Here is a 24,616-nt window from a genome sequence, read left to right as displayed (position 1 = left end):
TATCATAGATCTTTTCCAAAAAATTAAGTCGTAGACTTGAGTAAATTCTAAAGATAGTTTTCCTACTTCACAGAAGAATTGGTTTCAATCAAAAGGGCCTGAGATACGTTCTTAGAAAGAAAAAAAAAATGAAATAAGGAGAAGCAGAACCTGGCATTAGCTCCCTAGAGAATTATTCTCTGGTCAAAGTTTGTGAGTCTCAAAAATTTGAAAGATATCCTTCCATAGGAAGGTTTTCTGTCTGAAAACCAAGAACTGTTACCAAAAAATTATTGAAATTCTCCACAAGCAAGTGAATCATCTATTTAAAAGGCAGCTAAAGGCTCAGGAGACTTTGCAAATGTAAATGAATGAGCAGAAAAGAATGCTGAGCCTTTAGTTCACGTATGTTATTTCCCTGACTAGATACTTCTCTGGGGGTAGAGGGAAGGACCTTTGTAGGATAGTAAAAAGTTTGTAAACACATGAAATTAATGAGATATTCCTAGGGGACATGTAAGGAAGAATTTTTGTGTGGAAAAAGGGAAGAGGGGCTGTTAAAATGATGGATGCCGGGAAACATGTTTAAAAACCTATAAGGAATAAAAAAGGTACAAATAAAGAGAACAGTACTATACTGGGAGATTAAACACAGCAACAAAAAAACCTCTATTTAGGAAGGGAGCTTTCCAAGGAGAAAGTCTGTAATTCTATCATTTGGCAAAGGTTGGAGCCCCTCTTTGGGGTTGCCAGGAAAGATGCTTAAATTACAATTTTTATAGTTTCCTTCAATGGAACTTCAGGAAATTGGCCAAATATGTATGACTGAATATGGATCCAAATCTGACAGGCTGAGTTGTGCACTATATTAAGATTTGAATCCTCAGTTTGGCTCCTTCCTTAGGCTCTTGGGCCATTGTTCATCCAGGGAAGATTTATTGAGCCTGACTCTGAGCCAGGCAGTGTGCAAGGTGTCCAGAGGTCCTAATTCATTTCTCTAGGCCATCATTCTCCTTGGCAATTAGTTCACAACTCTTCTCTGTCCTCAACCTCCCAGTCTTTCATTCATCCACCTCTCTCTCAGCTGATGAGCTTTCTGTTCAATTCACTGAGAAATAGAAGTTAACAGAAGAACACTTTCACAGGTCTACCAACTATATCTTCACTTCCCTAATTGGCCTGCCCCCTAGTTAAAATGAATTAACTGGGCTTTTGCCTGGTGCCAACCTCTCCACAGGGTCAGTGGATCCCTTCTCTCATCAACTCAGATATGTCTCCAGCCAGTTCTCTCTCTCTCTTTAAACACCATCTCTCCACTAAGAATTTTCCAATTCAGGAATCCAAACTGATCTTTCTCTTGAACTCCAGACTTCATTCAGTTGCCCACTTCACTTCTCCACTTTAATGTCTAATATAAATGTCAAACCTTACATTTCCAACCTGGTGTGGTGGCTTACGCCTGTAATCCCAGCACTTTGGGAAGCTGAGGCAGGAGAATTGCTTGAGCCCTGGCATTTGAGACCAGCCTGGGCAACATGGCAAAACCATATCTCTAAAAAAAAAAAAAAATTATTCAGGTGTGGTGGCGCACTCCTGTAGTCCCAGGTATTTGGGAGGCTGAGGTGGAAGGAATTACCTGAGCCTGGGAGGCAGAGTTTGCAGTGAGCAGTGTTCACACCACTACACTCCAGCCTGGGCAATAGAGTGAAACCCTGTCTCAAGCAAACAAAGAAACAACCCAAAAAACAAAAACAAAACTTACATTTCCAAATACCAACTCTCATCTCATTCTTACCCCCACACTCAGTCTGCCTCTCCTTCTGCCCTCCCCACCTCATTTAGCAGAGGCTCCTTTCTATTCATTGCTTAGGTCAAAAATCTTGGAGTCATTTTGGATTTCCTCCCACCTTTCAATCCACTTCCAGTTTGTTGGCAAATTCTATTGGGTTTACATTCTAAATATATCCTAAATATGATCACTCCTTACCACTTCTGGTATATTCACCCAGTCAAAATTGCCATTATCCTTTGCCTGAATTTCTAACTGGTCCGCCCTGCACACTCACTCCCCTACCACTTATTCTCCATAGAAGCCATCCTTTTAAAATGTAAATCAGATCACTTGCCTCTTTTGCTCTTACCTGCCATGACTTGAATCTAATTTATGTAAAATATTAAGTCTTTACCAAGGTTCTGCATTTCCTGGCATACAATGGGGATGTTGAGTCTCTGACCTCCTCGCCTTCCACTCTTCCCTCACTCCAGCAGAGCCATGATGGCCTGAGTAAACTGTGCCTTTGCCTTTGCCTGCTATGTTCTCACTGCCTGAATGTTCTTTCCAAGATACCTGCATTGCTGACTCTCCTCCTTCTTTAAGTCTTTACTTAAATGTCACTCCCTCCAAGACACCATCACAGACCACCCCGTATAAGATGCACCCACTCCCTGTGACTATCACTCACCTTCCTGTATTCTCATACCCTGAGGACACAAAGGTTTCTATGAATTTCAAGATAGTGTTTACGCTCAATTATTTGAAAATGTAAAAACAATTCAAGAGTCATTGATTTGGGACTCTGATAATTCCAGGTGTGGTTAAAATGATGTACATTTTTCACATCATTTACTTTTCTGCCCCCTAAGTAAGCGCAAACAAGATGCAAGGGGCTATTGTATGTGGTGAAAAAAAAAAAAAAACTGGACTGAGATGTAAATGAGCTGGATTCTAGTCTAAGTCCACCACCCAAGACTGTGCCCACGGGCCTGTGGGCTCACCTCCCTGGGGTGAGCTCACCCTCCTTCCCAGTTCCTACCTCGTAAAATGGGAATGTTCAATGGGTCTGCCATTGGGAAATCAACCTAATGAGGAATTGTAGGTGGTTACAATTAACTCTGTTCCATTCCATCCAATAAATATACGTCAAACATTTACCATGTCCAAGGCACTATGTTAATGGTAACATGAAATAAAAGGTACTTCTTGCCCATAGTCCAAAGACAGTAGAGGAGAAAAGACCTTACATCATAGAATTAAAATAACTACATTTTAAAAAATGATGTAATATAGTTTTACACCCTACCCTCATCTTTAGATGAAGAAGCTGAGCTGAGGTTCAGAGAAGTGAAGGGGCTGATTAAAGAATAAACAATTAATAATAGCAGTGGAGTCAGGGCTCTCCAAAGAGGCTAACGAGTTTGATTACTCTAAAGATAGAATTCAATTCATTCCCTAACATTTGCAACTTTAAAAAAAATCAGAGTATAGATTCTAATCAGTATAGAAACTGGATTCTTTTTTATTTTGTTAACCTTTTAGAAGCTGTATGAGAGGGCTCATTGGGAGATGATCCTCGTATTTTTGTAGCTTGATCATCTGTCTATACCAATATGCAAAAGGAGTCAGGATTTAAACACCTAAAGATGAATAGCCTGTTCACCTGTGTACACAATCCAGTGTTTGGACAGGATGATCTGTTATTAATTTAAATCAATAACTGAAAAACAATGCCCATCACCACTCCACCCATCCCATAAGAAAGAAAGAGAGCTGGGATCATAAAACTCACAAAGCATACCTGAAACACTCCATAGAAAACAGTCATAGTTAATGCCTGGGTCAACACAATCCACCTTTGGTTTAATTTACTAAAACACTATGAGAGAGAAGGCCACGGGGGCCTTGACACACCCATCGTAACTATGAACTAATGTCTCCCAGATGATCAGGGAATCCTTTCCTGAGGAATTCAGTTCCCTGAACTTGACCTTGTTCAGTGACTTTAGAGTAAAGAAGAAAATGACTGCCAGATTAAAAGAGAAATATTTTACTCTTTGGCCAGATTCTGATCAGCTGAGAAATAAGATAATGATGCCTGTCAAATGAGCAACCCTCAGCCTTCCCTCCGTCTACAGCTACAGGGAATGGGAAGTAGCCATGAGAAGCCCTGGGGCTGCTGGATACTCTGCAAGGCCATCCTCCTGTAACTAAGGTCACTGTATTGCACTGTCAAATCCAAACGTATCTTAGCTGGAAAGACCTGCCCATCACCTATCAACCCCTTCACTTCATAAACGTGTCTTCAAGGTTCACAAAGACTGGCCCCAGCATCATCGCATGGACCCTTGTGACGCTCTGGAAGGTAGGGCAGGCGTCAGTATTTCTATTTCAGGTGAGACAGTGAACTCAGACCCTATTCAGTGATTCACCCAAGGTCACAGACAGCTTGTCTGTCAGGGAGAAGGAGCCTGAACCCTGGTTGTATCCTCTGAGTTTGGTATCTGACCATTGCCAATCTTACCAAGCAGGACATGAAACTCTTCAAGGCGAGGTAGCTTCTCGTGGTTACCTAGGGGATGAGTACCAGGGTTGAGACTTGAGAGTGCAGAACACTGATTATTTAGCAGTGCCAAGGTGAGCAGCCTTGCTCAAGGCACGGATGGACAAATGTTGCCCAGGACAGCATCCTGCTTTCTTCCTTCCTGTCCCTGAACGTCCCAGGGATTTAACCATCTCCCTTTTCCCATTACTCCCACCTATTTTCCAACTTGGATTCCACTGAAGGAGATGCCACAAAACCTTTCTTCTCCTCACTTTCATCCTGGGAATCAGGATCAGCCTTTCAGTTTGTTTTTGTTTGTTTGTTTGTTTTTAGTTTGTTTGTTTGTTTTTGAGGCGGAGTCTCCCTCCTTCCCCCAGGCTGGAGCGCAGTGGCGCGATTTCAGCTCACTGCAAGCTCCGCCTCCCGGGTTCACGCCATTCTCCTGCCTCAGCCTCCCAAGTAGCTGGGACTACAGGCACCTGCCACCACGCCCGGCTAAATTTTTTTTGTATTTTTAGTAGAGATGGGGTTTCACCATGTTAGCCAGTATGGCCTCGATCTCCTGACCTCGTGATCTGCCCGTCTCGGCCTCCCAAAGTGCTGGGATTACAGGCGTGAGCCACTGCGTGCAGCCAGCCTTTCAGTTTTATGGGTTTATTACTGTTGTTTTGTTTTCAAATTTAATAACCGTGGGGAGAAAAAAGTTAAAGAGGTACCAATGCTTCCAGTTACTAGATAATTTAGAAATTGTGATAATCATTTTCTAATACGGTAACTCTTACTTAATTGCTTAGCAGAGGACCTTATCTACTAATTGCTGATTTGATGGTAGACATCCTTATCATTATTATAAATACTCTTGGCCACCCAGCTAATTAGAAGCAGAACCAATACTTGAACCTAGGCCTTCAGATTCCTTGCCCAGTGCTGCAGTAGGGCTGCCTCACAGGGTTGGGATGCTTGAATTAAGCAGCATAGATAAGAGAGGCTATGAACTTAGGGAAGGGGGCTGTGGGGCTAACGAAAGTGAGGCCAATTACAGTTTATCAGTTATTCAGGCAGGGTCATCTAGGGCCAGTTCCTGCAAGGGTGCTGGGAAACGCAGGTCTAAGAGTCAATGTATAGATTGCTTGGCTCGTTGACAGGACTAAGAAAGCTAAAGCATTTACCAACTGGAGAAGAAGATTGATGAGAGATAGGGACAGAAACCAGTTTTGCTGCCTGCTTTTCCAGTAGGGTAACAACTTTATTCCTTTGGGTGCAAAGGAAAATAAGGAGATGATGAGAGAGGAAGATTTTGGGAAACCAGAAAGAATTGGAGGCCTTAGCTTTGGACTGCTTCTAGACTAACTGTATCCATCTTCTAGACTGGCCAAAAAATCACTTGACTCCCCCTCCTCCCCCAGCTATCCTCTCCTCCCTGGTGCCCAAGCGCTACCTCTCGCCCATGTGCTTATTCCCGTCTCTGTCCTAGACCACTGCAAAGCCTAGTGAATCTGTGTCTCCTCAGCTCCTCCCCAACAAGCCTTTTCCAAGACTCTCCTCTCAGGGGAACACCCACCCTCCCCCAGGCTGGCCATGTGGAGTCTGTCTTGTTCCCCCCATCTCGTTACACTTGTGTATTTGGTCGTTGACGCAGGGGCTGACCCCACATGTTACATCACCCTGTGCAGAGCACATTCAGCAGGCGAATGACTTACAGCACATGCTCTGTCTTCTGTTCTTTCTATTAGGGGCGTGATTTAGAAGATGAATGTTTATAACATGACCTAAGGAATTTCATCCTTCTCTGGAAAACTGTGTAGGAGAGAATCCTGATGGACAAAGAATAATGTGTTCTGGGTTTCAGCCAACTATTTGGAGTTGTTTGAAAAAGCCTTGGTGCTCAACTTCTGCTGTTTATTGCAAACTCATCACCTCCTGATAGTCCCTAGCTGGCTCAGAAGGGAGTGGTGACAAATGAGCATCTCCTTTGTTTTCATGCAGAAACCACTTTGCAGTGATGATGTGTTAATTCTTTATTAAGTGACTTCCTGGCCAAACACCTTGAAAGGCCATGTAACTCTCCTCTCCTGCATTGCATTTGTGGGGGAAAGGAGAAGGTATGGAGCATGAAAGGCAAATCAGATCTATGTACTGGGGTTACCCAGGCAGAAAAGCAGTTCCTTGTGAATGGAAAACAGCTCAGCAGTGTCTGTCCCCTGCCAGGTCCTTGGGAGGTGGTTTGCCATAGTGGAACACCAGATTTGCTGTTGATCTTGGTTAAATCACATAAGGAAGTGATATAACCTCTTTGAACCTCAGTGTCTTCTGCGAAAAGAACCCTGCGAAGCTATCACAGAGATTAAATTAGTTAAATTATGTGTAAAAAGGATAATTTTAAAATACTTCCTGCTGTGTTTTTCTCTGATGATTTCTTGCTACCATTATGACCTTAGAGCAGGAAAAAAGTAAATGCTGCCTCAGGAAGGAAAAGGGAGTTATGTAGACAGGAAGAAGAATTGAAACTCCAGAAAGGATTCTAAGAAGTAAAATACCATTAAAGGAATCTAAAGCAGAGAGGTTTCCCTGAGAAGAGACAGTAAAGATGTTAAGTCTCTGAAGAATTCCTGCATTGACATCTCTTAGGTAGTAATTGGCAAAGGCAAGGTAGTAGCATAATGATCTGGGATAGGGCATATATTTTCTTCAAAAATGAGGTTAATGTGGCAATTCCTAGGTTTCCTGGGGCCTAGACAAGATTCTACCATCCCCAGGGACAGCTGCTCCATGGAGATAAAGAGCCCCCGACAACGGCCTGAAGTAGACCCTATCTAGGTATTGGGGATGGAGAAGGTCATGCTTCTGTAGTACCAGGAAGCTCTGCGGTGGCTGTCTAGCTAGTTGTCCAAAGACCAGTGAACATTCTGCATGATAGAGCCAGCAATTAGATGCCACCAACACCCAGACAGACCATTTGAAGTGACCGGCAGCTGGAGCCAGCAAAGAGCAGACCATGAGTTTTACTGGCCATGAAATTTGGCCACGTATTTTAGACAGGTGTCCAGGGTACAGACCTTGCGGACCATATTGGGTCAGAAACCCAGCTGGTAAACTCTGTTCCCTGTCACTGTGAGGATACATGAGTTTCTCTCTTCAGCCAGATGTCATCTTGGTTGGGAGGAGAATCTAAATGATTAAACATTTTCCCAAAGATACTCAGGTTACCCTAAAAAATCATTTTAAACTTCAAGACACTGTTTTGAATCCAAAGACCTTTGCAATAAAAGATTTCCCTTCCCCATTCCTCGCACAATCCTCTGGCACAGTAGGATGGTTACTCATGAGAATTAGTTGCAGGGATTAGTTGCAGAGAAATAAAAAGGCCCAACTAGCTTGTAGGTCATTGTATTTTAACTCAACTCTGTAACTAACAGCACCACAGGCCAGGCGCAGTGGCTCATGCCTGTACTCCCAGCACTTTGGGAGGCCGAGATGGGCAGATCATGGGGTCAGGAGATGTAGACCATCCTGGCTAACATGGTGAAACCCCGTCTTTACTAAAAATACAAAAAATTAGCTGGGCGTGTGGCGGGTGCCTGTAGTCCCAGCTACTCAGGAGGTTGAGGCAGGAGAATGGCGTGAACCCAGAAGGCGGAGCTTGCAGTGAGCTGAGATAGCGCCACTGCAGTCCAGCCTGGGTGACAGAGCGAGACTCCGTCTCAAAAAAAAAAAAAAAAAAAAATTGCACCACAGATAGGAGACGATGCAAGTGAGTACTCTTAAATGTAATTGAAAATATCAAATTGGATAGAATCCTCCAATATGAAAAGCTTCTCACTTTTGGTATACTAAATACTGCTAACACAGAGTAGGAAGAAAGCTTGTACATACTTACTGGCCACAAGTTGATTTTATTTACAGCACTGAAAGTAAAGAAAAATGGAAATAGTCCATTATGTTTTAGTTAAATTCTTATGTTGAACATAGTTAAGATTTTTTTTCTGGGACTTCACAGTGTGAGGGGAGTGATAACATCCTAACAGTATTCCTTTTTCTAGATCAGTGACATTTGCATCACTTGTGGTGGTCTCCATCCTTCTCCTTCCTAGTGCTCTAGGGTTTGGGTCACCATCTTAGCCAACTGCCAATAGATTTTCACTGCTATCTCTTTCCCACTTTATTCTAGGTTTCTCTGAATTATTTTGTCATTCTTCTTCATTTAATTACCACAAGTGCCCACTATGAAAGATATTATTAACTTCATTTTGCAGATAAAGAAACAATGGTTCCACAGAGTTAAGAGAAGATATTTCTAAATATTTATTGCACATAAAAATGAAGAGAAGCGGCCGGGCGCGGTGGCTCATACCTGTAATCCTAACACTTTGGGAGGCCGAGGTGGGCAGATTGCCTGAGCTCAGGAGTTCGAGACCAGCCTGGGCAACACAGTGAAACCCCATCTCTACTAAAAATACAAAAATTAGCCGGGCGTGGTGGTGCATGCCTATAATCCTAGCTACTCAGGAGGCTGAGGCAGAAGAATCCCTTGAACCTGGGAGGTGGAGGTTGCAGTGAGCCAAAATTGCGCTACTGCACTCCAGTCTGGGTGACAGACCCCATCTCAAAAAAAGGGCATGGCGGTGTGCGCCTGTAGTCCTGGTTACTAGGGAGGCTGAGTCAGGAGAATTGCTTGAACCTGGGAAGCGGAGGTTGCAGTGAGCCGAGATCGTGGTGACAGAGCGAGACTCTGTCTCTTAAAAAAAAAAAAAGATGAGAAGTTTGGTTTTAGCAATAATCCTTATGAAAAGTGTTATTCTTAAAGGAGGTCTGTCCAGCACAGCTACAATGTACTGGTCAAGGTGGATGTCAGAGTGCCCCCCACCCTGGCCTCTCCAATCACATGGAACTCTGAGAATCAAGCTGAGAGGTGGAGAAAGGAAACAGTCAACATAATCTCCAAATTATGTTGCTAGTACTTGGTGGTGGGGCCTTTGGGGGAGGTGATTAGGGTTAGATGAGGTCACGTGAGTGGGGGCCCATGATGGGATTAGTGGCTTTATAAGACGAGGAAGACAGACTTGGGCTGGCACGCTCCCTCTCTCTCGCCATAAGATGCCTTCTCTCAGATTATGACACCACAAGAAGGCCTTTGCCAGGTGCTGGCACCTTGATATTGGACTTCCCAGCCTCTGAAACTGTGAGAAATAAATTTTCTTTATAAATTACCCAGACTGTGGTATTCTGTTATAGCAACACAAAACAAAGACAGATAGTGCCCTTTTTTCTGCCATCAAAACAGAAGATGAGGGTAGGAGTTATCAAGAGACTCTCTCCAAATCTGAAGGAAATCACAAACCTGCAGTGCTGTTTCGAAAGTGTCCGTCAAGACCCTGGGTTTACTCTAGCTCTGAATTCCATTTCCACTGTGTGTGTCTGGGGCTTCACAGGGATAGAGAGGGTGATGGTGATGATGGTGTGGTCGCTTTCTCTTTAATCCACAGCTGTTGAAGTTTTGACCACATTAGGGCCAAATGTGGAAATTAACCTAATTTTTTTTTTTTTTTTTGAGACAGAGTCTTGCTTTGTCACCCAGGCTGGAGTGCACTGGCACGATCTTGGCTCACTGCAATCTCCGCCTCCCGGGTTCAAGCAATTCTGGTGCCTCAGCCTCCCGAGTAGCTGGGATTACAGGCACGCGCCACCATGCCCAGCTAATTTTCGTATTTTTAGTAGAGATGGGGTTTCGCCATGTTGACCAGGCTGGTCTCAAACTCCTGACCTCAGATGATCCGCCTGCCTCGGCCTCCCAAAGTGCTGGGATTACAGGCGTGAGCCACTGTGCCTGGTGACCTTCTTTTTAAATATACTTCACCTAGAAATCCATTTTGTGAGACGAAACATGAAAGTGATCATACTCCCTGCCAGTCTGAGGTGACCAGGGTGTGACTTGACTTATGGTTTCTAAACTTTTTATTCCCAAAGGAAATATTACAGGGAGGGCCAATACATACAACAGGGAAAGGCTGACGGCTCTAGGGGAAACTGAAAGCTGACAGGAGCCCCGCCCTCCACTCTTGCTCTTCCTGCCCCTCCCACACATCCTGGGAGCATCCGTTCAGAACCCCACGGGCTCCACAGAGTGTAGTTGGAAATCACCGCATACATAGAAAATATGAGCAAGAAAACCACACATGAAGAATTATTACTAAGGGCTGCCATAAGCATCATGCTTGTCTTTTGGGGAATTATGATTCATTGACCAAATAAGAACTTACCGCCATTTCTTCTAGCGTGTTTTATCCCAGCAACACTGTGTGCACAGAATAGCTTGACTCCATTTCCACAGTGGCCATTTTAAATTTTAATAAATGCTGTCCCTTTGCTTTGGTTCTCCCTAAATATTCGAATTAGATTCATTTTTATGGTCCCAGAAACGTGCTAGATTTAACAGGAGTCATTAAAATGTCTAAAAACATATATTTCAGGGAACTCCCAACATAGACAGTATGAAGAAACACACACACACACACACACACATATATAGTTCACTTATATAAAGTGAAATGGGTAACAATTCATGACAAGTGAAGTGATATTATAGGACAATGTATGATTAAAAACCAAGCCTGTTGCTCAGAAAATAATTGCTCTAGGAATTCAGTACTAAGATTGTCTTGTATCACAGTGGCATCCTAATTATGGTATACAGAAAAATGAAGGAGGTTGAATTCTGCTCTCCTGGGCCCTGGTCATGTCTCACCTGGAATGTTGACTTAGCTCTGAGCACCTCACTTTAAGAAAAACGTGGTCAAAGCACAATGGGCTCTGATGTGAGATCATGTCCTATGAAGAAGTGTTGGTAGAGTTGTAGCTGCTTTGTTTGGGGAAGGTAGTACACTGGTGCGATCCTTACTTCACCAGGGATTTTCATGGAAAAGAGTATGTCCAGCCTCTCTACAACCCTTCCCTTCTTCCCTTCTATCCTCCCTATTTACCTCTCCAGTGGGGTGGACACCAGGGGGTGCCATTGACACAGATTACAGTGTGAACTGTGTCCCTTTGAGCTGTGCAAAACAGTGGCCCAGTCAATGCCTTTACAAAAAGGGATTTGAGTTTTTCCATGCGGTTTCAAAAAGTAGGTACAAATTAAAAGGCCAGAAAACAAGGGTAGTGAGATTTTGGCTTAAGATAAGGACATTCTAACAGTGGGAGAAGATAGAATGAATGGCTCTAGATGTACGTGTTTGGAAAGGAGTCTTATTTAGAAGGAAGTCTGTGCCTCTAAAATTGATAGTAATGATAGTAACCAGTGAATTGCATCTTTGTGACACGAGTGGCCTTGTAGTATTTTATGTTTTTCACAAGTGGTCTCCTTCTTCATAACTACACCAATACTTCTAGGTAGGAATTATAATTATCTTTATTTTATAGATGAAGAAACTGAAGTTTGGACAAATTGCATTACTTTCCTAAGGTCACAAAGAGAACAAATTTGTAATTTCAGAATTAGTTTCTCTAATTTCAGAATGCAAACTCTTAACCATTATGCCACATTGCCTTTCAACAATGAGTTACAAAATCCCATCTTTCTTAGCATGTTCAAATGCTCAATTATTGTGAAACTTGATCTACAAATAAAATTAGAGCTTGACCTTGTACCTCAAGGGGTAAAATCATTTCTGTGGAACAAGGGTAGGTGAGATGGATTTGTCTTGCTCTCACTACTCACTGATACCGATGTCTGGGACTCAGGGGTGAACCTGCACACCTGGGCTCCAGATGGGGAAAGCTGTTCTACACATAGCATATGCCTCCAGATCCAATTCTATCATCTCATGCACCCAATGCATGAACGATGTGCAAAGGCTCATGCTGGATATTTTGATTTTGTCATTTCCCAAATTCCCTCTCCAAAAATCACCTTAAGGAGGCAACATGTGGTCTTACATGATACTTCAGAGCTGCTGGTGGGAGCAGAAAGGAGCAGAGCCCATTGGAGAACACGCGGTGCTCACTGTCATGTTGGAAACACTGAGATAAAAAGGAGAGGCAAAGCCTTTAACTGTGTGTGCATCCGACAGCTGCAGCTTTCTTATTGCTTGTGCTATGTCTGTGAAGTGAAGACCATGGTGAGACCCTCACTGAGGCTCTGTTAGTGTTAAAACAGATGTTCCTTCAACACTCACATCTTAGGTGGCCACTTTCACGGGGTGGAAAAGGATAATCTAAACCTTCCTGTTCTTGCCAAAATAACCATGTGTAGGTCTTTGTTCTGCACATCTCTGGAACACACAAATAGATTTCCAAGCAGTAGGAACCTCCTGTCCTGTTCAGTTGTTGGACAAACTCTTGTTCTGCCCATTCCACCCTAGTTTCCTGAAATCCTGGCTGTAGGGCTCCCATGACTGGAGCCTGTGAGAGCCTCCTTTGTCAGGAGAGTTTTCACAGCTAAAGCCATCAAGGCTGGCAGTGAAGGACACTGGGCTTCAAGCCCACTACAGTGATGACAGGTATTGCCTTGGCTGCCCAAGCTGAGTGGTCGCCCCTCTGCAGGTCTGTCTGACTCCATCCCAGGGAAGAAGGCGGTGGAAGGTACCCATGGGCTGCAGTTGGCTCTGCCTGGCCGTGGGGGAGGATGGCAGAGGACTGACCTCTTGCTGCCTCAAAAGGGTGGAAGTTGTTTTGCCCTTTAAACTGATAAAGAAACAAGCTGGAACAGTAAAACTAATCCTCCGAAGCAATCCAAGCATGGAAACCAGAAATGTCTACTCAAATCTTTTCTCCATTTTCTTTCTTCATAAATTCGGAACATTTGTGGCAGAAAGAGAAATCAGAAAAAAAATGGATTTAGAAAAGAGAGAGAAGTAGTTTAGAGGGTTGTATAGGGAGGCAACATGATAAAGTTGGAAGAAAAATGGACTTGGAGAGAGAACAGTCAAATCTGGGCCTGCCTCTGAGTGCCTGTGTGGCCCTCGGCAAGTTTCCCTTCAACTTGAAGACCTGGGTCTCTATGATCCCTTTCAGTTGCAAGATTAAGACCTAAGAGTTCTTGCTTATATAAACAGAATTCTTCCAAGGCCATAATTATTTCCATAATCAAGAACTATTTATTAACTAAGCACCAGTGTGTGATTTTCTCAAGATAAGAGCAAGAAGAAATGGTCCTTACAGGCTAGATAGCTGTGACATGGACCAACAACTAAGCATATCTAAAAATTCGACTAATTCATAATATGAATTCAAAATATGAATTGAATAAGCAAAAATATATATACCATGGGAGTTGAATGTTTTGACGGGGAAAATCCAGACGCTGACTTTAGGATGGTACTTTCTGTTTTGATTGATCCTGAGCCACACTGGACTCTCTGGCATGGGCATAACCCGAGCATCTGCATGGCAGAGTTCTGGCTCATTGCCATTTGCAACAGACACGAAGGGTGGCATCAAACAAAAGGAAACTTCTCCGTTGACCATCATAAATGATGAAGACCAAGGCTTCAACTCACTTACTGGAGTGGATTTCCTTTTACGGATGGCCTTGGTCACCCTGGGGAGACTAAGAATGTTTAAGTAACTTAACAAACACTCAGTAAGGAATGGGATCAGGATTCTTCTCCAGGGCTAACAGTTTTAACTGCCATTCTACATTTCCTGCCTGAGACAGCTGCCAACCTGGGCTTCTGTGACTGCCACTCCATGCTTCTCAAGCCAGGGTGCACGTTAGACTCATCTGGAGAGCTTGGTAAAGCCATCCATGTCCAGGCTCACCCACAGAGTCCTCAGTTTTCTCAGTTTGAGGAGGGGCCTGGGTACCAATACTTTTTAAAAGCTCCCTCTGGGTGATTCTAAGTACAATCAGGGTGTCAATCACTGATGTCCATAATGAAAAGTGTCAGACTCCAAAGCAAACTCAGGAGGACTGCCTTCATGGTATGGATCCCTGGCAGATTTGAACCTTAGAGGATTAGGCTAGCAGCTTGTGGAAGCGGATGCAAATCTTCCAATCCTCTAAGGGCAGATGAGCCTCTGGACTCATGAGAACGCTGGTCTTGGTAAAAATCCCCTGCATACCACAGGCCTCCCTTGGAGAAATCACCTAAAGAAACACCAGGAAGAATTCATTCTGGCCTCAAATAGTTACATGGATGTTTGTTACAAGAAGACACATTTAACCATTGAAGTTCCTACTCATTGAGTGAACCGTGTCTCCCTCCTCTCTGGTTTCCAGAAACAAGGATTTTTTTCTAAACTCCTCTTACTTCTTGCCTCATGGCTAATGCCCACGGAGGTGGGGTGAGTGACCTGCTGGTAACCAAGGGAAATGAATCTGCACAGGAAGCCCAGGCCCTCCCTCCCTCCCTTCTCATTAGAAGCCAGCTTCCCCTGGAAAACAACCACATTCTGCTCTACTTTCTCATGTCTATGTGGCCCTCCCTGAGTGGGAAGGCTTAAGTTTTGTAAGATTCATCATAAGTGTGGTGATATTTCCTAATTCCAGGGAATGGAGCTAGTCATGCCACACATCTTTGCTGTTTTCACGAACTGAGGTAATTTTTATTTTTATTTTTATTTTTTTGAGGAACAGTCTTACTCTGTCACCCAGGCTGCAGTGTAGTGGTGTGATCACAGCTCACTGCAGCCTTGACCTCCTGGGCTTAGGTGATCCTCCCACCCTAGCCTCCCATGTAGCTGGGACTAGAGGTATGTGCCACCTCACCTCCTTTTTTTCTTTTCTTTTTCTTTTTTGGAGAGACAGATTCTTCTTATGTTGCTATTTTAAACTCCTGAACTCAAGTGATCCTCCTGCCTTGGCCTCCCAAAGTGCTGGGATTACAGGTGTGAGACACTGCACCCTGCCCAAGGTAATATTTTGACCTTCCTTTACCTTATTCTTTGTCCATCTCTTAATTAGTTTATAACTTAGACGGGAAAAAAGAGGTGTCTAAATAAATAAATAAATAAATTTATTTAAATAAATATTAAATAAATCCCATCAGTTCCCCATAGAATGCCATTTTCCCCTAGCTGTCTATTCATGTAACAAAACGAACAAGAAAACACTACAAATTCTCTCCCTATTTATACTGTCCCACCATTATGTTATAACTCTCATTATAATGTTTTAGTTTTTCCTTGAAATAATAATCATCAACCCATTTGTAAACCATATGTTTCTACCCACAAGTGACAACCAGAATTTCAGGATTAATTGCAAGAGCCATAAAGAGCTTTTTGGTCATTTCCCTAAGAGCCTCCATGAATAGTAACAAGGGCGAATAGTAACCCCCGGCTTCAGCTGTCCCCACTGCTGTGGCAGGTTATGATACTTTCTTTCCTAAAGTAAAGGCCAAGACAGATGGCTTTTCAGGACTTCCAGAGTCTGTATGACATAAGAAGCTTATTCCAGTAAAGGGAACAAGACCCTTGTCATCTGACACCAATGAGATGCTCTTCCCTTGGCTGGCAGGGATCTGGAGGAGGAGGAGCAGATAACCTTCAGCCTAAATAAGCAATACCATCATTATTCTGGAATCTCTCTGAAGTATGGTTGGTTACAGTGTGGAATTCCACAGGGCACGTGCCTGTCTTGGACTCTATCCAAGGGAGTAAGTTATCACAAGGACCTCATTATAACAGGGGCTCCAGGGACAGTGTCAGTCAGCAGGCTTCAAGGTAGCTGCTAAAATTCTGGTGCTGGTCTGTTTAATCACTGCATGCTTGTTAATACAGTCAAGCCTCAGTTACAACAGAATCAACAGCCCAGTTTGTCACTCATCCATTCCTTGTTCCGTCACCGCCTGGTTGAGTTTCTGGCTTGTTTATGGGGCAACTCTGGGTGTCGGGCAAAATGAATGCCTCTTGTTTGAAATGCCTAATCCCGAGGTTTTTCACCTATGTGTTGTTTTCTCCCACCAGCACCTCTGCTCCGTGCCATGCTCTTGGCTAATTGGAGTTGTGAAAGGCATGAGGATTCTGGTCATGGACTCAGCTCTCCCATAGGGTTCTGACACCAAAGCAATGGTCACAACAGTGAAAGGAAGAATCCATCTGGCCAGGCTCAGGTGGTTCAAGGCCTTCAGAATCTGCCTTGAGACTCTCACTGGCTTTAGACTGAAAACCATCTTGGCCCCGTCCATCCGTGTAAGCAATTTAACGACAGCTTGCAAAGCACCGAGCTTTAACAGAAAGAAGAGATGAGCACAGCGCAAGAACTTGGACTCCAGAAGAGCTGCCTAACAGATTATTTTTCTGTGGCATTTCATGAGAACAAACGAAGTAGGAATTTTCCTTTTGTTTGTCTGGCCTTTGGCATCGTTTACTTTCTTTTTATTCTTCTGAAATGTACTTCGAGCCCTGGCAGCATTTCTGTCCTAAAATCTTATTGTCAGAGGTTTATTTTTCAGCTTTTCAAATCATATCTGATAGAGTGAGTGTACTGCCTGGACTCATCACTTTACTTCAGAAGAAATACAGCTCACCCTTTAAATGACAATGGTGACTGTCCACATCTTTATGTTTTCTACACTGAAGTGGCAGGCTTCATTTAAAAATAATGTTTTCCCTCATCAAAAGAGAGCTAGGGTAGAACCGTCAACTCTGCTGTTGTCTGGGTAGTGACCTAACACCCACGTTTTGGACAATCACTCACTGTCTTATATTGGGTTTTCATTGCATGTAGGATAATTCTTTGTCAATGGTAGTTTTGTCAACCGTGATCTGAGGTAATGAGGTTTTCTACTTTTGCTTGAAATTTTGAAAATATGCAAGCTTTAAACATTTGCAAAGTTGGATTCTGTTTTCTTTAGAAAGCAATCTGATTTGCTGATATTCTCTCCATCTGTCAGGGGATGCGTGATGTGGTGTAGACTTAATGTGCTGCCTTTCTGGAACATGGACAGAGTAGCAGCACAGAAAAATGAGCATTTCAGCTCTGTGATGATTTGTGAAAAAAAATCTCAGATCATTGAGCAGGCATTTTGCTGACACCTGTGAAAAGTAACCACATGAGAGAGCATGGCGTGATGGTCGGAGGCCACGTGCTGGAGCTGGACTGCTTGAGTCAAATCCCAGCTGCTCAGCTGTAGTGAACTGAATGGTGGTCCCCAAAAGATACATGTATCTCCTAATCCCTGGAACCTGTGAATGTGACCTTATTAGGCAAAAGGGTCTTTGCAGATGTAATTACATTGAGGCTCTCAGAGATGAGAACATCCTGGATTATCAGGGTGGGTCCTATATCCAATGACAAGTGTCTCCTTATAGGAGACAGAAGAAGTTGCAGACCCGGAAGAGACTAAGTAAAGATGGAGGCAGAGACTGGAGTGAGGCTGCTGCAGGCCAAAAATGCCTGGTGCCAGCAAAAGCTGGAAGAGGCAAGGAAGGACCTTTCCCTGGGGCTTTTGGAGGGAGTGCAGCCCTGCTGATGCCTTAGTGTTGGATATCTGGGCTATGGAACTATGAGAGAGAAACTTCTGTTGTTTTAAGCCACCTAGTTTGTGGTACTCTGTTATGGCAGCCACAGGAAACTAATACACTCTTTACCACCTGAGTGACCTTGGCCAACTTACTTAACCTCCATGAATCAGTCCCCTCAAAGGACCACCCTCCCCCCAGGGTCACTGTGATGATAAAGTGCTTTAGCATAGGTGACTGGTTTAGACCAGGGCCTGGTACCTAGCACATGCTATGCCAGTGTTTCTATCATGGCAGCAGCAGATGCAGTGGAGCTTAGATTTCAACTGTGTCCATGCTGGTTAGAAAAGTCACAGTCTGGGACACAGGACACTTCTGGAAGAATCTCCCTCAGTGGATCCCAGTGTTCCAGCAATGTTTTCCAAGCAGCTGAAGAACAGGAAGCAGGAACAGGGTTCCCTACAAGAGCCATTATTCAGATGCCTCTACATCTGACTGGTTTCGGAGAAGTGTGACTTCTGGAGGTTTATGTGCTGGGACTTTAACAGCATACGTACTAAAAACCACATTTATGTTTCCTCAAATGCTGGGCTCTCTATGAGCCTTGACCTGCCTGAGAAGATTAGAGGCGGCTGCCTAATCTGATCAGTCAACTCAGTGAAACAACTGCATTGATTAAAGCCATAAGATGTTAGGATTCTCTGTTCTTGGTGGCCTAAAAGGTCCCATTCCTTTCCCAAAGTGCTTAGCTTGATCCCATCCCAGGGAACAATTTTGGGTGGAGGAGAACCTGGCCACAGATCATAAGATCATGTATGACTAAGTCTACTTGCCTTCATGGAAACATACATGGAGTTTTGGGCAATTTCTTTGAAGCCCCTCTAGAGGCTTCTAAAGATTGTTTAGTGCCATCTGGTTTTTAATCCTGGATGTCAAACTTGTTGATTTTTGCCCTGGACCATCTGTTTTTCAACTTCCCACGGAACCTTTCCTTTGGGCCAAGTAGGGAAAGAAATACTATATTTTTAATTCTTTTTGTTTTGCCTTCTCATCCCAGTCACAGCATTAGAAAGGGAAAATCGACTGTCTGACAAAGCTCTGAAAGACTGGACATGAAGTGCTGGCCTTGCTATCTGCAGGGCATCTCCCTATAGATTGGATACCTTTTCCTTCACTCTCTGATAAAAAGTGAGACAGACTGAGCATAGTCCTGTGACCATTTAATGCCTGTGCCCAGAACATGGGTCTGTACCACTTGCAGGAGTCACAGTGGGGAGGAGCAGGGACCTTGGGGTCTGCCTGCCTCTGTCTGAATTCCAGCTGAGCCCATTCCTAGGCCAGTGCCTGGGAAAGTTATCTGACCTCTGAGATCCAGTCTACTAGCCTCACAAGTGAGACTGTGACAACACTTACCTCAATGAGGCACTGGACATCATCTCATTTAATCCTCAACATGCCTCAGTGTCCAGCATTTAACAAGCTCCCATAAACATTAGTTACTCTCATTCCTTAATATGAATAGCATTTAAAATAATAAAGTGGGAGAGAGCAATGCTGCATGCCCTACAACTGGCCAGAGAGCTTGCAGCAAGGAGAATGCTTAGGTGGAACATACAGGCCTTTTCTGTGTTCATCCCATTCCAAAGGATTTGGTGTTGCCATATATGGAACATGAAGATTAGAAATGGCCATTTCCAAACTGGTGAATCCCTTGGTGCCTTTTTCTCCATTGTGATTCATCCGGGGTACCCTCAGTTTTCAGTGGTCATGGTCATTCCAAACCAGCCATGAGCTGGGGGAACATTGTACTGTGGTAAACCCAGGGCCACCTGACCAGAGCTTCTCCAATTTTATAAACCCAAGTTGTAGGTGGGATGATGGATGCAGGCTTCCCTGGCAAATGCTTCCTGGGCATTGTAGACACTGTCACTTCTAGGGGGCTGCAGTTGCCTCATTGTATAATTCTGGTCATCAGAAAGGAGGCAGTAATGGATGAGCTGCCCTTCTGGACAAAATGACATCTCTCTTATTGAAAAAGGCTAAGAAGCTATTTTCTTTTCCCCCTCTGCAACCACTATTTATTGCATGAGATTTCAGAATGATGATGATAAAAAAGCAAGTTTATAGAGACATCATGAGGTTGTGTAAATAAAATAAAGTAATATCTGGGACAGATATACCAAAGAAAATTGAACCCAAAATGTCTAACTTTGCAGTCCATACTCAGCCAGAACTCCCAATGAATTAAAACACAGACTGCATAATTATGTACACAAAATGCCTTTAAAGTTGCTCCATAAATTTGGAGAAAAAAGGATAGTCTGTGTAAAGCTACTAGGGCAAAATTCCTTACTGTGGGTTTATAGGCACTAGTACAAGTGGTTCCCAAATCCCCGTTTTTATTTTTTAATTATAAATAAGAAGAACACAGTCTCCCCTTGCAACTTCCACTTCGTCACAGCCTCCAGGCACAGAGGACAGAGTTCCTGGAAAAAAGGAAGGCTTAATTCCAGGTCTGTAATAGCAAAGTTACAGTCAGACTGAACATTGATTATATTTAAATCCACCATATTTTTCCTTTGAAAACCACATATTATTTAACATCTTGAATGCTTTACATTGAATTTGTTGAAAAATTCTCCCTGTGTTTTCAGGCCTTTATCATAATTTTGTTTTTATTTCTTAATTTTTCTTTTCAAATAAGTGAGAGAATCAAGTTAATTGAGCAATGATATGTAAGTCATTCAGTTAATATGGAAATTTTGGGCCAGCCATGGAGGCTTATGGCTGTAATCTCAGCATTTTGGGAGGCCGAGGCAGGCAGATCTCTTGAGCCCAGGAGTTTGAGACCAGCCTGGGTAACATGGAGAAACCCTGTCTTTCCCCCAAAATACAAAAATTAGCCGGGCATGGTGGCATGTGCCTCTAGTTCCAGCTACTCGGGAGGCTGAGGCACAAGAATAGCTTGAGCCTGGGAGGTAGAGGTTGCAGTGAGCCAAGATCATACCACTGCACTCCAGCCTGGGTGACAGAGCAAGACCCTGTCTCAAAAAAAAAAAAAAAAGAAAGAAAAGAAAGAAGAAAAAAAAGAAAGAAAGAAAGAAAGAAAGAAAGAAAGAAAGAAAGAAAGGAAAGAAGAAAAAGAAAGAAAGAAACAAAAGAAAGAAGAAAAAAAGAAAGAAAAGAAAGAAGAAAAAAAGAAAAAGAAAGAAGAAAAAGAAAGAGAAAGAAAGAAAAAAAAGAAAGAGAAATTCTGGGAATTCTAGCTTTCTCTTGGTGCATGCTCTCATTCGATTGAAATCAAGCAGTTTCTACATGAGGCAGACAAGTTCCTAGGGTATGCAGAAAGGGGCAATATCTTGGTTCTTGCTTCAAAAGAGCTAACTGCTGCTGGGACCTACGGTTGAGCAATGACTCAGGGACCTGGCTGGTAAAGAGGAAGGAAGTGGCTATGGAAAGTTGCTGTTAAGTAACTGGAGCCCCAAAATAACATAATATTGACCAAGTCATCCCACCCCCAACACCTACCATTACTGAGAGTAACAATGTGGAGATAGCCATGCAGGCTCCTGGGTCCATTTGTCACTTATTTGAGTTCCCTTCGTTACAACTCTTAATGCTACTGAACTCTAATTACATGACATGGAAATGCATGGGATGAAGGAGCTGGAGGGGATTTGCCCTCAACTCCACAGTCCCATGAGAGAGTGATTTGTCTTTATATAAATAGCTATCAACTAAATTGAGATCATAAGAGTTATATCTTTGAAGATAACATATAATTGCATTCATAAGAAGTATTCAAAATCACCATTTCATAAATTTTTCCAATATCCCTATGAGTAGGGATTGTTATTCTCATTTTACCAACGAGGAGTCTCATTACTAAATGTAGGAAAAGTACTTGATCTGAGTAGCATGATAAAAAGTACACATTAAAACAAGAAGACATATTTTGACCATCAAACTAGCAAGGATATATAAACCATAAAATTAACAACGTTTAAAAAATAATGCTTTATGCTGGCAAGGTTATGCTGACATTGAAATGAAAATTCTCTTTCTGCTGATAAAAGTACATGTTGGTTAAGCCTCTCTGAAGAGCAATTTGCAATGTGTCTCAGGAAAATTATTCATACATTTAGATGCAGTAATTTTATTTCTGAGATTTCCTTCTAAGGAAGTAATAAGAAATGTAGACAAATTTTGCATGCAAAGATCTTTCTCGCAATGTTTTTTATAATGATAAGAACTTGGATATAACAAATATTTAACCACTTATGATACACCTACATAATGGAATATTATGGAGCCCCTAAAATTATATTTTTGAAAACTTTTAATGACATGAGAAAACATTCAAAATGTACTGTTAAATGAAAAAGGCAGGATTAAAAACTTACATAATAGTATGATCATGGTTATATCAAAACATATGTGCAAATCCATTCAAACTAGACTGGAAGAAGTAGAACTTAGTTAACTTGTTCGAGGTCAAATATCTGCCAAGCAGAGGAGCCAGCACCTAAACACAGTTCTTCTGACACTAATCCCAATGTCTCCTTCCCCATATCATGATGTCTCAGAAAATACTCAGTTTGAGTAATACATTGTTGTTTGTTTTATTAGAAAACAAACTATTCATGGAATTATGCTAAAATCCATTACTACTTTGATTAGATTCAGGAATTCAAGTAAATTTTGGGGTATTGCTCAATTTCCCTAGTTCTGCAAGTTGCTGAAACCACACCCACGTTTACAACACCCAAGTATGCTAAGCCCATGGCTAGGACTCAGTTTCCAAAATGTGTTACCTGCACTATATTTGTAACCCCCTTTAACACAGAAAGAATCATAAAATTCAATATAGAAGATGACTTGGAGAGGTTATATTTTTCTAGTAGTTTCCAAATTGAACTAAACAGCAACACTACTAGCGTGATTTTCTCAAAATACAGATCCAGGTCCTACCCCAAGGATTCTATTTTAGCAAGTCAGGGTGGAGCCCTGTCCTCTGTATTTTAAATAGTACCCTGGGTAGGACCATCTTTAAACCATTCCAACCAGTGGTAGTGATGCGTCTGATGAGGTCCCCACATGCACGGAGTTACATGTAGTGATTCCACTACTTCAGGTTAGAAAAACACCTCTTCAAAACCTGGATTTATTTATAACGTGAGTATACTGGCCACTGAGTCCTGTAACTACTTGACTCATTCTTTCAATGGTTACTGGGGAAATCACTTTATCTTCCACTGATGCCTGCACTAGATATTTACTGTTGCTTAACAAAGGATTCTCAAACTTGGTGGCATCAGGCAACAAGCATTTATTATCTCATGATTTCTATGGATCAAAATGCTAGGCACAGTTTAATTGGGTGCTCCTGGGTCAAGGTCTTTGTTGAGGTTGCAGGCAAACTATTGGCCAGGGCTGTGGTCTCATCTGAAGGCCAGAGAGAGAGAGAAAAAGGGGAGGGAATCTGTTTTCAATTTCACTTACACAATTATTGGCAGGTCCTTCTACGCTGGGCTGAATGACAACATGGTAGCTGACTTCCCATAGAAAGAGAGAACAAAGAAAGCAGGAGTGAGAAAGTGAGAGTAAGAGACAGAACAAGAGAGATTGAGCAAGAAAATGTGCAACCATATGCACCCAAATGTGCACTGAAGACAGAAGTCACAATCTTTCTGTGATCTAATCTTGAAGTAACATCTCATCATTTTTTCATATTTGTTAGAAGCAAGTCAACTTCAGCACATAACCAAGGAGAGAAAATTACACAAGGTTGTGAAATACCAGAACCATGGCTCGTTGTGATCCATCCTAGGGAGTATTTGATGCACTGTCCTGGGCAAATGGCAGAAATAAATTCCATATCAAACCACCTTCACCTCTATCCTTCAATTTCTACTTGGTAAGTAAGCAGAGGTGAGGCTGGAGTGAACTCTGCATATTTGTGATAGTTAAACCAAGAGGGCCAAGGCAGAAGGAAAATCTGCAAGTTTAGTGTGGGCCAATGCTGGCATTTTCAAACATACAGCATGAGCTGTGAGTGTCATCTTCAGTATCAATAGCGAGACTTGGTTAACAGTGTCACTGATTCTTTTTGTTCTTCAAAGAAGTGCACATTTCAAATAGCCTTGGGGACTATTGTTCTCGACTTCTTTTTTTCTGGCTCTAACTTGTGAAGCCATATTCAGTTATTCTAGAAAAGACATTTGAACTTCATGGTCTGACCTCAACTGCAACTTGCTCAGGGGGCTAACACGACTATACCTTCCATTTTCTTTGAGAGGGAGACAACAAATATTGGGCAAAAAGTAAATGCATTTATATATTTTTATATGTATATAAGTATACAGTTAAATGTTGAACTACATGCACAGGTTTGAGCTGGGCAGGTCCACTTATAGGTGGATTTTTTCAAGCAAATGCAGATTGAGGGATGCAAAACCTGCATATAGGGAGGGCCGACTTTTCATATACACAGTTCTGTAGGGCCTACTGTGGGACTTGAGCATGTGGGGATTTTGGTATACACTGGTGTCTGGAACAAATACCCCTCGTATGCCAGGGATGACTGTGCGTGTACATGTATATATGTGTGAGTATATGTGTGTGTGTGTATGTGTGTGTATATATTTATATGTGTGTCTATACATGTGCACACACATCACACTTCCTTGGGACCATCTGGAGTGCCTCAGCTTACCCCACATGTCCAGCTTAGCCTTGGTAGCAGAGCCTTCAGGTAATGTGAACAAAGTTAGGTTTCCAGACTCAACTAGTTTATCCACTAGATCTACCATGTAGAGTTAAATCCAACTTGCCATCTGGTTGCCAGATGATGAGTACTACAAGCATTTTCCAGCAACTCAACTTGCTATTGAGTCACAGCCACAAACAAAAGCAGCAGA

At 42.6% G+C, this 24,616-nt stretch overlaps 1 long non-coding RNA gene across 2 annotated transcripts in view, besides 1 other annotated feature; it reads left to right on the top strand.

Annotated features, from left to right (window-relative positions):
- PIRAT1 (PU.1 (SPI1) induced regulator of S100A8 and S100A9 alarmin transcription 1) overlaps window positions 1–17,831 on the top strand; it is a 49,617-nt gene extending 31,786 nt beyond the window's left edge. The window contains exons 1-3 of one of the 2 annotated variants that reach the window (NR_110011.1): window positions 14,367–14,830; window positions 15,040–15,145; window positions 16,200–17,831. This is a non-coding gene — a long non-coding RNA (PU.1 (SPI1) induced regulator of S100A8 and S100A9 alarmin transcription 1). Of the gene's footprint in view, window positions 1–14,366; window positions 14,831–15,039; window positions 15,146–16,199 lie in introns of those variants that run through there. The other variant, NR_110012.1, reaches the window with a different exon arrangement.
- Window positions 10,532–10,591: an enhancer, noted in NCBI's record as "active region_15600". NCBI's record gives its function as "activates an Ori minimal core promoter by ATAC-STARR-seq in GM12878 lymphoblastoid cells {active_cell/tissue: GM12878}" and the evidence as "EXISTENCE:reporter gene assay evidence [ECO:0000049][PMID:35858748]".
- Window positions 17,832–24,616: the final 6,785 nt, after the last annotated feature.

This window comes from Homo sapiens, chromosome 2 (assembly GCF_000001405.40).
Source record: "Homo sapiens chromosome 2, GRCh38.p14 Primary Assembly".
In the NCBI taxonomy this organism is placed as follows: Eukaryota; Metazoa; Chordata; class Mammalia; order Primates; family Hominidae; genus Homo; species Homo sapiens.
The sequence above is the reverse complement of the archived record's forward strand: the minus strand, read 5'-3'. Positions and strand labels throughout refer to the sequence as shown.